General features: G+C 44.5%; 1 protein-coding gene across 1 annotated transcript in view, besides 5 other annotated features; it reads left to right on the forward strand.

The window, feature by feature from the left end:
* PFKFB3 (6-phosphofructo-2-kinase/fructose-2,6-biphosphatase 3) overlaps positions 1–16612 on the forward strand; it is a 181717-nt gene that overhangs the window by 114895 nt on the left and 50210 nt on the right. The gene's annotated exons all lie outside the window — the stretch shown is intronic.
* Positions 10517–10717: a silencer, noted in NCBI's record as "peak862 fragment used in MPRA reporter construct". NCBI's record gives its function as "represses an SCP1 promoter by STARR-seq MPRAs in K562 erythroleukemia cells {active_cell/tissue: K562}" and the evidence as "EXISTENCE:reporter gene assay evidence [ECO:0000049][PMID:32103011]".
* Positions 10847–10896: an enhancer, noted in NCBI's record as "active region_2964". NCBI's record gives its function as "activates an Ori minimal core promoter by ATAC-STARR-seq in GM12878 lymphoblastoid cells {active_cell/tissue: GM12878}" and the evidence as "EXISTENCE:reporter gene assay evidence [ECO:0000049][PMID:35858748]".
* Positions 12157–12357: a silencer, noted in NCBI's record as "peak863 fragment used in MPRA reporter construct". NCBI's record gives its function as "represses an SCP1 promoter by STARR-seq MPRAs in K562 erythroleukemia cells {active_cell/tissue: K562}" and the evidence as "EXISTENCE:reporter gene assay evidence [ECO:0000049][PMID:32103011]".
* Positions 15180–15289: an enhancer, noted in NCBI's record as "active region_2965". NCBI's record gives its function as "activates an Ori minimal core promoter by ATAC-STARR-seq in GM12878 lymphoblastoid cells {active_cell/tissue: GM12878}" and the evidence as "EXISTENCE:reporter gene assay evidence [ECO:0000049][PMID:35858748]".
* Positions 15440–15879: an enhancer, noted in NCBI's record as "active region_2966". NCBI's record gives its function as "activates an Ori minimal core promoter by ATAC-STARR-seq in GM12878 lymphoblastoid cells {active_cell/tissue: GM12878}" and the evidence as "EXISTENCE:reporter gene assay evidence [ECO:0000049][PMID:35858748]".

Here is a 16612-nt window from a genome sequence, read left to right on the forward strand (position 1 = left end):
ATTAGAGTTTGCTGTCTCCTAGCCCAGCATTAGTAGTTATTTTCATTGTTCAGTAGTGGAACATCAGATAGTAATATCCATTATGTGATGAGTGCTGGCTGAATGGCAGGCACTTAGCAAAGCCTTCTGTACACCCTGGCTCATTTAATTCTAATTCTAATGGTCATCCTAAGATATGTGTATTATTGTCCACATTGTAATCTTTTTATGGTGAAGTACAACATACATGAAAAAAAGCATGGAAAATGTAAAGTATGGTTCTATAATTTATCGCCAAACAAAGATGTATACAATGAGGTTAAAAAATTCAAACATTGGCCGGGCACGGTGGCTCACGCTTGTAATCCCAGCACTTTGGGAGGCTGAGGCAGGTGGATCACGAGGTCAGGAGATCGAGACCATCCTGGCTAACACGTGAAACCCCGTCTCTACTAAAAATACAAAAAAATTAGCTGGGCATGGCGGCGGGTTCCTGTAGTCCTAGCTACACGGAGAGGCTGAGGCAGGAGAATGGCATGAACCCGGGAGGCAGAGATTGCAGTGAGCCGAGATTGCGCCACTGCACTCCAGCCTGGGCGACAGAGCGAGACTCCGTCTCAAAAAAAAAAAAAAAAAAAAAAAAATTCAAACATTGCCAGCATCCAGAAGGCTCCTTCATGCCCCCTTTTAATTGCCACCTGCTTCCTGTCCCCAGAAGTAACCACCATCCTGATATATGTGGTAGTGGCTTCTCTGCTTCTTTTTATAGTTTTACCATCTAAGCATGTATCCCCAAGTGCTATAGTTTTCTTTCGCCTGTTTGTTTTACTTTAAACTTTACATAAATCACATTGTATGTATCTTTCAGTGACTTTATTTTCCTCAACATTAAATTCTGAAATTCATACTTGCTGTTTCATTAGGTAGTGATTGATTCTCATTTCTGTATAGTATTTTATTGTATGAATATACTACAGTTTATTTTCCATTCTACTGTATTTGGTCATGTGTGTTTTTCCAGTTTTTTTACTATTATGAATAATGATTCTTGCACACATCTTCCACTGAAAAAGGGCAGTCATTTCATTGGATATGTAAATGAGAGTGAGATTACATTGGATATGTAAATGGGAGGTGGTAGGCATGTGTTCAATTTTGGTAGCTAGTGCTGAACAACTTTCCTAAACAGTGGCACTAATTTATCTTCCCACCTGTAGTGGACAGGAGGTCAGTTCCCTGCATCTTCACCATCACTTGGTACCACCAGTCTTTCTAATTTCAGCTTATCTGATGGTACGTAGTGGTGGTATCTCTTCACGATTTTAATTTGCATTCCATCTATGACAAACGAGGTTGTCTTTTCATATGTTTACTAGACATTTGGATACCATCTTTTGTGAAGTACATTTTGAAGTCTTGCTCATTTTTTAAAACTGAATTTTCTGCCCTTATTTGTAGGATGTTTTCTGGATGCAAGGTCTTTCTTTTGTTGTTAAATGAGTAGCAAATGGCTTTTCCTAATCTGTCAGTTGCCTTTTAATCCCTTAAACGCTGTCTTTGGAATGAGATCATGTCTTTTGCAGGAACATAGATGGAGCTGGAGACTATTATCCTTAGCAAACTAATGCAGGAACAGAAAACCAAATACTGCATGTTCTCACTTACAAGTGGGAGCTAAAATGATGAGAATGCATGGACACAAAGCAGGGAACTGCAGACACTGGGGCCTTGTTGACAGAGGAGAGTGGGAGGAGGGAAAGGAGCAGAAAGATAACTATTTTGGGCTGGGCGTGGTGGCTCACACCTGTAATCCCAGCACTTTGGGAGGCCGAGAAGGGCAAATCACCTGAGGTTGGGAGTTTGAGACCAGCCTGGCCAACATGGTAAAACCCCATCTCTATTAAAAATACAAAAATTAGGCCAGGCATGGTGGCTCACACCTGTAATCCCAGCACTTTGGGAGGCCGAGGCAGGCAGATCACTTGAGGTCAGGAGTTCAAGACCAGCCTGGCCAACATGGCGAAACTCCATCTCTACTAAAAATACAAAAATTAGCCAGGCATCATGGCACACATCGGTAGTCCCAGCTATACTCAGGAAGCTGAGGCAGGAGAATCACTTGAACTTGGGACACGGAGGTTGCAGTGAGCTGAGATCATGCCACTGCACTCCAGCCTTGGGGACAGAGTGAGACTCTGTCTCAAAAACAAAACAAAACAAAAAACAAAAAAAAAAACACAAAAAACTCTTAGATACTAGACTTAATACCTGGGTGATGAAATAATCTGTACAACAAACCCCTATGACATGAGTTTACCTACCTAACAAACCTTCACATGTACCCACAAACCTAAAATAAAAGTAAAAACAAAGCTGTTGGCCGGGCGTGGTGGCTCACGCCTGTAGTCCCAGCAGTTTGGGAGGCTGAGGCGGGCGGATCACGAGGTCAGGAGATCGAGACCATCCTGGCTAACATGGTGAAACCCTGTCTCTACTAAAAATACAAAAAATTAGCCGGGTGGGGTGGGGGGTGCCTGTAGTCCCAGCTGCTCCAGAGGCTGAGGCAGGAGAATGGCGTGAACCCTGGGGGGCGGAGCCTGCAGTGAGCAGAGATCACACCACTGCACTCCAGCCTGGGCGACAGCGAGACTCCATCTCAAAAAAAAAAAAAAAAAAAAAAAAAAAGCTGTCTTTGGATATTTTCAATGTAATCTAACTTATCAACTATTCCCTTTATGGTTAGTGCTTTTTGTGTCTTGCTTAAGAAATCTTTCCCTGCCCTAAGGCCATAAGGATATTTGTGTGTGTTATTGTATCAGTCATGGTCAAGTTAGGAAAACAGAAATCACACTATAAATTTCAAGGGAGAGAATCTAATAAAGAGAAATGGTCACATAGGTTTCAGAGTCTGAAAACCAAAACAGAAGCCCTAAGGTAACAGAGAGAATAGCTTCAGAAATGGGTACTGCCTCAAAGACTAGAGGAGCAAAGGCAAGAGGGTGGTGTTATCAAAACCTAGTAGCTCAGAGAAGGGATCCCTCACAGCGAGGAGACTCAGACTTCTAAGGGGGAGCTGCTGTCCAGCGGTGCTAATAGCCCAGAGGGGCTGTGATGAGATTGGTTCCAGGGGAGTTGAAAGAAGCTGAAGGCTGGAACCAAAATGCTGGCCTGCCGAGACCACCTCGGTCGGGGAGACCCTAACCCAGCAGCGCTAGAGGAATTAAAGACACACACACACACAGAAATATAGAGGTGTGAAGTTGAAGTGGGAAATTAGGGGTCTCATAGCCTTCAGAGCCGAGAGCCCCGAACAGAGATTTACCCACGTATTTATTAACAGCAAGCCAGTCCTTAGCATTGTTTCTATAGATATTAAATTAACTAAAAGTATCCCTTATGGGAAATGAAGGGATGGGCCGAATTAAAGAAATAGGTTGGGCTAGTTAACTGCAGCAGGAGCATGTCCTTAAGGCACAGATTACTCATGCTGTTGTTTGCGGCTTAAGAATGCCTTTAAGCGGTTTTCCCGCCCTGGGTGGGCCAGGTGTTCCTTGCTCTCATTCTGGTAAACCCACAACCTTCCAGCGTGGGCATTATGGCCATCATGAACATGTCACAGTGCTGCAGAGATTTTGTTTATGGCCAGTTTTGGGGCCAGTTTATGGCCAGATTTTGGGGGGCTTGTTCCCAACACTGCCCAGGTGATGGTAACAGTGCAGAGGACATCTCTACTTCGCTCCTCCTGAATTTCCATCTCTTTCTAGCAGCTCCTATTGCAAATTCTAGCAGGAAGCCAACCAGCAAGGGGGAAATGAAGAGTCCTGGCCCCAGAATTACAATGCAGGACAAAGAAGTGTGGGTGTGGAGCTGAGAGACAAGAGCTTAATAATGGTTATTTTCTTCTGTTTTTGAGACAGAGTCTTGCTCTGTCACCAGGTTGGAGGGCAATGGTGCAATCTCGGCTCACTGCAACCTCTGCCTCCTGGGCCTAAACGATTCTCGTGCCTTGGCCTCCCAAGTAGCTAGTATTAAAGGCGTGTGCCACCATGCCCAGCTAATTTTTATATTTTTAGTAGAGATGAAGTTTTGCCATGTTGGCCAGGCTGGTCTTGAACTTCTGGCCTCAAGTGATTCTCCAGCATTGGCCTCCCAAAGTGCTAGGATTACAGGCGTGAGCCACTGTGTCCAGCCACGGTTATCTTCTCGAGAAGCCTTGTGGTTTTGCCTTTTAGCTGTACCTAAAACCTGCCTGGAATTGGTCTTTGTGAATGATGACAAGGGTTTGGTGTCACTTTTTCCCCATATCGAATTGACTTGGCACCACTCTTGGAAGGTTGCCTTTTCCCATTGCACTTGAGTGCCATCTTTGTCATTAATCTAGAGGGACTGCTTCTAGATGTTCCATTACGTATTCGTCTAAACTTGCACCAATATCACACTCCCTTAATGTAGCTTTAAAATCAAGTTTGACATTGGGTAGAGTAAGTCATCTTACTCTGTTCTTATTCAAGATTGTCTTGGCTATTCTTGGCCCGTTGGATTTCCATTTGATTCTAGAATAAGCTTTTTAATTTCCATGAAAATTTTGCTAGGATTTTAATTTAAATCACATAAACTCTATAGGTAACTTTGGGAAGAACTGATATCTTTACAATATTGACTTTTTCAATCTAAGAATATGGCTTATTCCTTCATATATTTAGGGTTTTTTGTTTAATGTTTATGTCTTCTGTGTAGATGTATTACACCTATTTTATCAATTTATTCTTAGGTATTTGATTTTTTAACTTTTTATTATGAAGTAATTTCCAAATTAAAGAAAGGCTGTAAGAATAGTACAGAGAAACCCCTTGTTCCCTTTACTCAAAATGTTTTTCAACATTTAACAAAACATTTTGCCACATTCACTTGTTTATTCTGTTTCCCTCTTTCTTTTTCATTCTCTCTATACGTGTATGTTATTTTTATTTTCCATCTTTTCCTTAATAATCTGAGAGTAGATTGCATAAATCAGGCTCCTTTACTCCTTTATATTTCAGTGTGTGTTTTGTAAGAACAAAGAGAGTCTCTCATATAACCATGGTATAGTTACCAAATTCAGAAAATTTGACCTTGATAGAATACTTGTATATAATGTAGTCTATCTTCCAAGTCATCGATCATCTTAATGATGTCCTTTCTAGCATTGTTTCCCTGGAGGTACACGGTCTCATTCAGAGACACCTACTGCATTTAGTTGTCAATTTGTGTTAGTTTTCTTTAACTTGGCATAGTTTCTTTTTCTTTCATTTTTTTTTTTTTTTTGAGATGGAGTCTAACTCTGTCACCCAGGCTGGAGTGCAGTGGCGCCATCTCGGCTCACTGCAACCTCCACCTCCCGGGTTCAAGCGATTCTCCTGCCTCAGCCTCCCGAGTAGCTGGGACTACAGGTGCATGCCACCATGCTCGGCTAATTTTTGTATTTTTAGTAGAGGCGGGGTTTCACCATGTTGGCCAGGCTGGTCTCAAACTCCTGGCCTCATGTGATCTGCCTGCCTCAACCTCCCAAAGTGCTGGGATTACAGGCATGAGCCACCGCCCCTCACCTAATTTGGTATAGTTTCTTAAGCTTTTTGTTTTTCATGATATTGACAATTTTGAAGAATACAAGCCAGTTATTTTATCAAATGTTTCTCAATTTGATTTTGTCTCATGTTTCTCCACTATTATGTTTAGGCTATACATCCCTGGCTAGAATATTATGGAAGTCATGTTGTGTCTCTTGGGGTATCACCTATGAAGGCCTGTCACCCCACCTGCCTCTTGCGGGTAATTATTTTGACCACCTGCCCAAGGTATTGTTCAATTTTTCCACCGTATATTTACTATTTTCTCCCTTGGAGCTAATAAGCAATCTATGGGGAAACACTGGTGCCACGAAGACATCCTACTCCTCATCCAAATTTCTTTTTAAGTTTAGCTTTCACTGATGATTCTTGTCTCAACCAATCTTTGCTATAATGATTGCAGAAACATAATTTTCCAGCTCCACCCCCTCCTTCTGTGTTTATTGTTCAGGATTCTGCTGTCAGGAGGAGACTTCTCTTGTCCTTCATTTTTTTTTTTGTTTTTCTATTTATTATTATCATTTTTTAGAGACTGGGTCTAGTTCTGTTACGTAGGTGGGAGTGCAGTGGCATGATCATAGCTCACTGCAGCCTTGACCTCCTGCGCTCAAGGAATCCTCCTGCCTTAGCCTCCTGAGTAGCTAGGTCTATAGGCTTGTGCCCCACGCCTGGTTATTTTAAATTTTTTTGTAGAGACAAGGCCTTACTATGTTGCCCAGGCTGGTCTCAAACTCTTGGGCTCAAGTGATCCTTCTGCCTCGGCCTCTCAAATTGTTGGGATTACAGGCATGAGCCACTGAGCTTGAGACTGTTTATTTTATGGATTCATTGATTCCTATTATATTTAATGAGTTATAATCCATAGTGTCCTTATTTATTTTGACACTCAAATTGTCCCAGATTTGGGTCATAGGAGCATCTTCAGGCTGGCTCCTGTATCCTTCGGCATGCTCTCCTCTTCTGCTTTGAGGACGTCGTTGATTTCTAGGCCTGTACAATACTCCAGGCTCATCTTGTGCCTTCCCTGTCTCAGCTCTAAGACTGTCGATGTCTCTAACAAGCCCTCGGTCCTAGATCTGGTTGTAGTTGTGTTATTGCCAGTGGGTGTCATTGCTTCTAGGGTGTTTCAGTGGCCAGAGTTGGGATAAATATGTGTGTGTGTTCACATATGCGTAAATAAAACCATACAATAACTATAATATGTATGTGTGTGTATCTATATCTATATATGGTTGTATTATTGGAAATATACATTCATATTGAGATCTCCAATTCTAATTCAATGCAAATGTTCTTCTTTCACCCAGGACTGTCCACATATTTTGCAGAGTCCAAGTAAAATGTAGGACTCCGTTTTCAAAATTTATTCAGTATTTCAAAACAGCAACAGCAGAGCATTAACCCAAATAAAGGGCAAGGGGTCCCTGCCAAACCTGGGGCCCCGCATGATGGCCTTGGTCTCATGCGTGCGAAGCAGGCCTTGCCTCCATTATGCTCACAGGGAGAATGCTGGCTCACAGCATTGACAGCGTAACGCAAGATTGTCTGCGGAATTTGGGGACTATGTGAAAGAAAAAAGCAGAATTTAGAGGTGCTAAATTATAAATCTTTCACCTTTTTTCTCTTGTCATGTTGTTTTTTAAAATTTGCTATTTAATGTTATTCAAAATAAAGAAACAAGTTATTAGCATGAGTTCTACAGTTCGTCCTTATATTGTGCAGTGACAATTTTACATGCAAACATAAGCGCATTTAACTCATAAGTGGGTTCACCACAATCACACAACTGGTATTTCCCAGCTTGTATAGGCATATGTATCTTGTTCTTATGAGAACAATGGAGATATTGTACAAAACAAACTCACTGCTTTTATTCACCGCTTGATAACGCTCATGTTCTGCCATTGCTGGCTACCCTGGACGTACGTACTAATGAGTGAGGAAGGTCTGAAAGGAGAAGGAACTGTGGGTTTCACTGGCTTTCCCTTTCCTCACTTCAGCATGTGTACTTGGCTAATACAGGGAAGTAGGAGGTCAGGATGAGGCTCCTTAGTGGTTAGAGTTTCTTAGAACGTCATTGCCTTCTTTCTGCAGTCAGGGCAAGTTCTGGGTCAAACAGAAAGTGCGGTGTCTCGGGGCTGTTGGCGTTCTTACTTACTCACTTGTAGACATAGCACGCTTCCTTTCAGCCCCTTCTACTCACTTGCTGAATTCCCAGCCATCAAGGCAGCAAGCTTCACTTCTCAAACATCAGTTCAAAGATCAAATTACTGGCCGGGTGCAGTGGCTCATGCCTGTAATCTCAGCATTTTGGGAGGCCGAGGCGGGCGGATCACCTGAAGTCAGGAGTTCGAGACCAGCCTGGCCAACATGGTGAAACCCCGTCTCTACTAAAAATACAAAAATTAGCCAGGCATGGTGGCGGGCGCCTGTAGTCCCAGCTACTCGGGAGGCTGAAGCAGGAGAATCGCTTGAACCCGGGAGGCAGAGGTTGCAGTGAGCCGAGATGGTGCCACTGCACTCCAGCCTGGGTGACAGAGCGAGACCCTATCTCAAAAAAAAAAAAAAAAAAAAAAATCAAATTACTAAGAATTTCAAGCTGGCAATGACAGTGTTAAACCATGTGTAGTGTCCTGAGCATGGGGCCCTGTGCGACGGAGCAGTTCTCATGTCCGCTGCTTTTCAAGGATTTTCCTGTCTCCCCTCCCCCACGCCACTTCCATGGTCTGGAAGCCACAGGCAGAGCCCCTAAGGTGGTTATGTTGAGATTAGGTGTGGAATTCTTGGCATCATTTGAAGTTACTCTGTATCCCAGTAATGCTGAAAGCATGTGTGTCTTATTTGTACTTCTTGATAAACTTCTTTTTGGAGATTGCGTAGAGGGTTTTTAATTCAAGTGGCTGCTATTATGCCTCATGCTAGGAACCTTTTTGGGGGTGCTTTTCTATACTATTATAAAAATTATATAAGGCTAGGCACGGTGGCTCATGCCTGTAATCCCAGCACTTGAGGTCAGGAGTTTGAGACCAGCTTGGCCAACATGGAGAAACCCCATCTCTACTAAAAATACAAAAATTAGCCAGGGATGTTTGCGTGCACCTGTAATCCCAGCTACTCAGGAGGCTGAGGCAGGAGAATCACTCGAACGCAGGAGGTGGAGGTTGCAGTGAGCCAAGATTGTGCCACTGCACTCCAGCCTGGGTGACAGAATGATACTCCGTCTCCAAATAAATAAATAAATAGAAATTATATAAATATATTTAATAAAAAAGACTAGTTAACTTTTTTTTTTGTACTGGATCATACATTCACAAATTTCAAACATAAAGAGGTTAAAGAGGCTGGGTGATGTGGCTCATGCCTATAATCCCAGCACTTTGAGAGGCTGAGACAGGCCAATTGCTTGAGCCCAGGAGTTCGAGACCAGCCTAGGCAACTTGGCAAAACCCTGTTTTTACTAAAAATACAAAAAACTAGCTGGGCATGGTGGTGCATGACTGTAGTCCCAGCTATTTGGGAGGCTGAGGTGGGAGGATCACCTGAGCCCAGGAAGTTGAGGCTGCAGTAAGCTGAGATCGTACCACTGCACTCCAGCCTGGGAGACAAGAGTGAGATCCTGTCTCAAAAAAAAAAAAAAAAAAAAAAGTTAAAGATTTTTAAAAATTCATTTTTTAATTATTTACTGCTAGTATGTAGAAATGACAATTGCTTTTTAAAACAGTAGTTGTCAACATGGGCTCCCCTCCCTGGGTCTTCATCTTCCCTGAATGGCGATTCTTCAGTATATTTTTACTTCCCTATATGCCCAAGCAGATTATTTTTACGTTTTTTTTTTTTCAGCTGTTAGATAAAGATACTGAGATACCAAGAACATAAATAACTTTTCCTAAACAAATTTAAGACTGAATTATAGACTCAGTGATCTAGGATGATTTATGTACTTATTTATTTTCAGAGATGGTTGCCCAGGCTGGTCTTGAACTCCTGGGCCCAATAAATCCTCTTGTCTCAGCTTCCTGAGCAGCTGGGACTACAGGTATGCACCACTGCACCTGGATAGGATGATTTGGTCTTGTCTTAAGGAGCAACACATACATATATTTTTTTCCCTTTTCCAGATTCCGGGGTCTGTTATCTGTGTGATGAGGCCATGGGGAAAATGCAGTGAATATAGGCTTTGCCATAGGTAAGACGTTGCAGTTAGGAAAGTGGAAGTGACTTAGGGTGGAGAAATGGGAAGAGAAATTGGTTTAGTGTGTGGAGAGAGGAGGCAGTAAGACTTAACTCTTCCCAGGGGTAGACATTAAATGGCTCATATTTCTGGTCACTGACTGAGTTATTTTGTACCTGGACAACTTCAGAAGTCAGCATGTCAGAATGCATAAATGAAGAGGGCCATATGATGTGACTCTATCTGACACAGTTTTATCTATTTATTTTGAAAATGGTGCCAGGTGTGGTGGCTCACGCTTGTAATCGCAGCACTTTGGGAGGCTGAGGCAGGTGGCTCACCTGAGATCAGGAGTTTGAGACCAGCCTGGCCAACATGGTGAGACCCCCCTCTCTACTAAAAATACAAAAATTAGCTGGGTGTGGTGGTGTGCACGTGTAGTCCCAGCCACTTGGGAGGCTGAGGCAGGAGAATTGCTTGAACCCGGGAGGCGGAGGTTGCAGTGAGCCGAGATCGCGCCATTGTACTCCAGCCTGGGCAACAAGAGCAAAAACTCCGTCTCAAAAACAAACAAACAAAACAAAACAACAACAACGACAACAACAAAAGAATATGGGTGTTTAAGACTCAGGAACATGGGACAAGAATTCTGTGCTCTACTTTCTGGTGAGCTACGACCCGGAACCAGTTGCTTTCCCTCTCCACAAATCTCTCACGGAGATAATGATGCCTTCTTTTTCCCATTTCATATGAGAAGTATAAGTTACCTAATATTACTCATTCTTCTACCAAGAAACTAGAGGAATATTTTTGAGGTAACTGATTGTGTCATGCAAGGTTTAAAAGCCCTTCAATGGTTTCCTGTTGCTCTTGCGTTTAATGACACACGTCCTAACCACAGCTCACCGTGTCCTGGGGCATCTGGTTCTTGCCTGTCTCTCTAGCCTCAGCTCAGCCTACACTCCTCGGCCACAGAGGCTTTCTTGAACTCTTGTTTTTGCACACTCCCTCCCATGTAACACCTTTGTGCTTGCTGTTTCCTCTGGATAGTAAGGGTCCGGTTCCCTCTTTACCAGGTGGTTTCTAATGCATCAGATGGTGTCATGGCATCAAGGAGTCTTCCCACCCTCCGGGCTAGATTAGGCCCTATGACATGCGCTCATCGGACCACATGCCTCCTTTGTAGGACACCCAGAGTTGCAGTTTCACCTTTATTGGTGTCATTATTTGCTTCATGCCCGTTCTCTCACTAGACTTAAGCACCTTGAGAGTAGGAACTGGGCCAGTTTTGACTCAGCACTCTCTTCCCAAGATCTAGCCCCCTGCCTGGGATAGTAAGCACCCACTAAATATTTGCCAAATAAATGAAGGAAAGACATTTTTATTCATTTCATCCTAACTGTAGATTTTCCCAGTTCTTAAACTTGTTTTCTGAAACGTGGGTTTGGATAAGAAGCATTCAGGAACAGATTATTGAAATTGGGAAAGAAAGTGAAAGATGCTCTTCCAATGGCCTTGCTACAAGTAATTAGTATTCAACCACTTCCCCCGTCTGGAACCTAGTTTCAAGTGCCAAGAGAAAATGTGTCTAGCATTTAAATGGATTCTTCCAGAACACCAGTGGCCATGCAATTGCTGAAGTAGCCAAGCTCCTGTGCATTGTAAATGTCAGCCTTGTTCCAACACCTCTGCTAAGGTAAGGACGAGAACCGAAGAGCGTTACCTTTCAATTTATGATTTCCTGGTGCGTGTGTGATGCCTGGGAGGCCCAGGCTACGTTCCTTTAGCCACTGAAGGACTCTGACAGCTGCCTCCTGGGGGTGTGGGAGCCAAGAGGCGGGAAGTCAAACTTCAGATGTGTCTATTGAATGGCAGGATGAAGAGCCTGGTAGCAGTGCTTGCGGAAGGGCTGGGAAGCCGAATTCTTTGAGAGTAATGAAGCCACTTCCGGGCAGGTAGCACAGGGAGCTGATGAAGCCCAGTGTTTGAATCAGACCTCTTTTAGCTCCAGTCCTGGTTCAGTACTCTCTAGGTGTGTGATCTTGGACAAGATGTTCAAGCCCCAAGCCTATGAGTCTCTAACTAAGGTTGTGTAGAATAAATGAGACAGTGTACCTCAGACCTTTGATAAAAAGTGAATGTTCAATAAAGGTAACAGGATACTGTGACCCCAAATAGCCACAGCGCCTTCTCCCGTGGGTGGAGGGTGGAGCCTATGGGTATCTGTGTGTGCTTTCTCCCCCACACTGTGGGCATGTATTTATATTTTTAAAGCTAAATTGAAATGAATCCTAGTTCAACCTTGAATGGGAAGAAGTATTGCAAAAGGGCAATAGGCTATCAGAGGGTGGGTGTGGAAGTGGGAGAGGCAGGTACCTATTTACTTAGGGAATATTTACCAATCTCTACCATGTGTGGGAATCTGTGCTTAGCACTGAGGATAGACCAGAGGGTGGGATAGACAGTTGCCCCTGCCCCGATGGTGGCTGCCATCCAGCAGGGAGGGCAGATGTGAAGCATTACATACGTGCTTACTTGCCATTGTGCATGTATGTTGTATGTTATGAACAAGTGCAAAGCACCCCGAGTTCACAGACAGGGGCTGTAACTGTCTAGTTTGGTGAATGGCTGATGAAGGCAGTGCTGGGAGATGATAAATGTCCCTTCTGTCCCTTAGGACTTGCAGGTAATGGTCTCCTGTGTCCCTCCCTTGACTCCAGGCTGTCTAGTGAAGGTGATCGTTCCAATTGCCCTATTAGGACATCGGGGTTTCTTAACTAAACCCTGAATGATGCCTTGGATTTATGCATTCTGGCCAACGTGTTGAAATACGTCAGTCTGGCTGGGCACGGTGGCTCATGCCTGTAATCCTAGCACTTTGGGAGGCCGAGGCGGGCGGATCACCTGAGGTCAGGAGTTTGAGACCAGCCTGGCCAACATGGTGAACCCCGTCTCTACTAAAAATACAAAAATTTTAGCTGGGCATGGTGGTGGGTGCCTGTAATCCCAGCTACTTGGGAGGCTGAGGCAGGAGAATTGTTTGAACCCGGGAGGCAGAGGTTCCAGTGAGCCCAGATCGTGCCATTGAACTCCAGCCTGGGTGACAGAGGGAGACTCTGTCTCAAAAAAAAGAAAAAAGAAATAGGTCGACCTGGGCCCCAGCCGCGCTGTGCTTTCATGAGTTTCCGTCAGCCCTGTTCCATATCCTGGATCTGTGCATGCCAAGGGCTATGTGGGAAGATTTCATTTCAGGTCTCTTGAGAACAGGGTCAGATGGAGGAGGCAGGCTTTATTTCAGATTTGGACAATAGGCCTGAGGGCTTGATTTATAGAGAAAGTCTCAGAGGAAAATAAAGGAAAAGAAAATACTTCCCATTCTCCTAAAGTGTTCACATGTCTCCTGTGCAGTGAGTGGGGCTGAGATTGCAGGCTTTTTTTTTTTTTTTTTTTTTTGAAGTGGAGCCTCACTCTGTTGCCCAGGCTGGAGTGCAGTGGCATGATTTCAGCTCACGACAACCTCTGCCTCCCGGGTTCAAGCAATTCTCCTGTCTCAGCCTCCCAAGTAGCTGGGATTACAGGTGTCTGCCACCACGTGCGGCTAATTTTTTTGTATTTTCAGTAGAGACGGGGTTTGCTGGGCCCACCTCACAGATGTGATCCATATTCTCATGATGGCCGTGAAATTAGAGATGTGACTAGAAGCAGCTGCCCACCAAAAGTAAAACAAACAAAAATGAGGCCTGGAGTTTTCCCCGTTCCTCTTCTGGGGCCCGAGGAGCTTGCCACCCGTGGGTGAAAAGCGTTGCCTTCCCGAGAACGCCTGCTCTTTAAGGGATCCCCGCCGCCATGCAACCTACAATCGCACGGCCCTTTACAGTGTATAAAGCCCTTCAAACCTTGAGGGGGCTGTCGGGAAACCTGTGTTCTGTTGACAGTTCTGTCAGTCACTCTGGGCTTGAGGGTTCTCTAAGGAAAGCATGGAGATTGGACTGGAGTATGTTAAGGACTGAATTGCATCCCTGCCAAAAACAGCACGTTGGAGTCCTACTCGCCAGCACCTCAGGGTGTGACCTTATTTGGAGAAAAGTCTTTCCAGAGGCCATCAAGTTAAAATGAGGTCATTAGGATGGGCCTTAATCCAGTATGGCTGATGTCCTTATAAAAAAGGGAAATTTGGAGACAGGCACATGCAGAGAGAAGGTGATGAGAAGAGGGAGTGAAGACAGCTGACTACAGGTCAAGGACAGACACCTGGATAGCTCCTTCCCGCAGCCTCAAAGGACCCAGTCCTGCCGACACCTTGATCTTGGACTCCCACCTTCCAGAATCAGGAGAAAATAAATTTTTGTTGTGGGCCGGTGCGACAGCTCATTCCCATAATCTCAGCACTTTGGGAAGCTGAGGCAGGAGGATCACTTGAGCCCAGGAGACTGAGACCAGCCTGGGCAGCATGGGGAGACCTGTCTCTACAAAAAATAAAATAGCTGAGCCTGGTGGCACTTACCTGTGGTCCCAGTTAGTTGGAAGGCTGAAGGGGAAGACCGCTTGAGCCCAGGAGGTCAAGGCTGCAGTGGGCTATGATTGCAGCACTGTACTCCAGCCTAGGTGACAGAGCGAGATCCTATCTCTAAAAAAAAAAAAAATTAAAAAACTGTTGTGTAAGTCCCTCCATCTGAAGTACTTTGTTGCGACATCCTCAGCACACTAATACAGTGTACTGAAGCTTTTTTGTGTGTGCTGTAGCCCCTCTGGTCCTCCAGGGTTGATCCTGAGCCCCTTCTTAGAATAATGTTTACATTTAAAAAATAACACACTTTGGATTACGAAGGAGAGAACTCTTGAAATACTGATATCAAAATGCCAAATATAAACATTTACGATGTAGAAATATATGTACCACTTTAATAATGCATTCAATAGTGGCAAGTCTGAAAACAACCGTAATTTCACAGTAGAGATGAAGGGTAAATACTCTTTCAAGACATCTGCAACAGGCTGGGTGTGGTGGCTCATGCCTGTAACCCCAGCACTTTGGGAGGCTGATGTAGGAGAATTGCTTAAGCCCGGAAGTTTGAGACTAGCCAGGGCAACATAGTGAGACCCCATCTAAAAAGAATTAGCTGGGTGTGGTGGCACACGCCTATAGTCCGAGCAACTTGGAGGCTGAGGTGGGAGGATCCCTCGAGCCCGGGTGGTCGAGGTTGCAGTGAGCTGTGATGGTACCACTGCACTCCAGGTTGGGTGACAGAGCCAGACTCTGTCTCAAAAAAAAAACAAAAAACAAAACTGCAATAACCATCATGTGCCATGAACATATTATGATTTTTACTGGTGACCGACACAGAGGCTGCTCATGTGGTATGCTGCCTATCTTCATAATGAAAATGCTAAATATTAGTTCCTGGCTAGTGGAGGAAAAGATTTTTTTTCCCACCCAAGTTTACATATTCTTGAATTTGATCTGTTCCTGGACTGGGTGGTGTCCACTAGGGGACTTTTGGGGTCTGTGGTTAGGCGACTCTGGGTGGATTGTCCCATGAGGCTGATGCCTCTTGCTCTTTGCTTAAGACTCAGTGACCCTTCGGCACTTGGGGGCCTTGTGCCAGGGGCAGGTGGTCACGGCCCCGCCCCTCTGTTGTCATGGCGACAAACCGATGTGGCCTCTGGAAGCTGCTCCCTTCTCTGTCCTCTTCCAGAGCCTTGCCGTGGCTCCGGTAGATTTCTCTGCATAGCTTGTCTGTGACTCGGCGAAGGAGGTGTGTGGAGAAGGTGCCAGTTCCCTCAGCGGAGCCACCCTCGGGGCCTGCGCCTGACTCAGACAGGAAGTAGCTGACACTCCATGCCAGGAAGTAGCTGACACTGCATGCCGGGAACGCTGTCCCCAGCCTTGTGATGGAGTCAGGCCTCTGCCGGTGACTCACCGCCATCACCCAGGCGCTGCTCTTGCTGGGAATTTTCTCATGAGCTCATCTGGGCAGTGCAAAGAACCACACAATTGTTCCCCACACGCGTTCTTATTGTGCAAAAGGGAAACCTTGGTTTGGATCTTGTGGGTTTTTTTCTTTTTTTGAGATGGAGTCACGTTCTGTCACCCAGGCTGGAGTGTAGTGGTGCGATCTTGGCTCACTGCAACCTCCGCTTCCCGGGATTCTCCTGCCTCAGCCTCCTGAGTAGCTGGGATTACAGGCATGGGCCACCACGCCCGGCTAATTTTTGTATTTTTCATAGAGAGGATTACATCATCAAGAATGAAACATTTTTTTTTTAATGGCTTAAGGGGTATATGGCTCTTCAAATACACGCAGGGGTTATGCTTTCTCCATGTGGAGGGTGGTGCTCCCTCTGCAGCCCACCCATTCGGAGACAGGCTTTCTTCATGCTGGAGTATCTCATTCCTCGAAATATGCTTGCTATTTCATGCTTGAAATCAAGATGTCTCCCAATTCATGGCACCTTGTATTTGACAAATAGACTGCGTAAAGACAGAGTCTGTCTTTAGGGAATGAGAGGATTTTTGGTAAAAACAGAACCAAAACTTCTACTGACCCAAGAGAAGGCTTTGTTTGCTTGGAGTGGATTATCAGCCAAATGCTATCTTTATTTTGTGGGATTTTGGCCTTTGAATCAGGTTCATGGGTGGCATGCTATAGAAATAGGATAACAAATGGGATAATTCTTCAAACAGAAACATGGCCTAGAATGGGAGGGGTTGTTGTTTATTTATATGTATGTGTCATAAAAATATTTTAGATCATAACTTAGCAAATGTATGAAAGTGGAAAATGTGTTTATGGATCTATTTCATAAAAGGGCCATGCTTCAGAAAAAAAAAAAATCCCAAGAAACAAACCAAAAA

This window comes from Homo sapiens, chromosome 10, assembly GCF_000001405.40.
Source record: "Homo sapiens chromosome 10, GRCh38.p14 Primary Assembly".
Classification (NCBI taxonomy): Eukaryota; Metazoa; Chordata; class Mammalia; order Primates; family Hominidae; genus Homo; species Homo sapiens.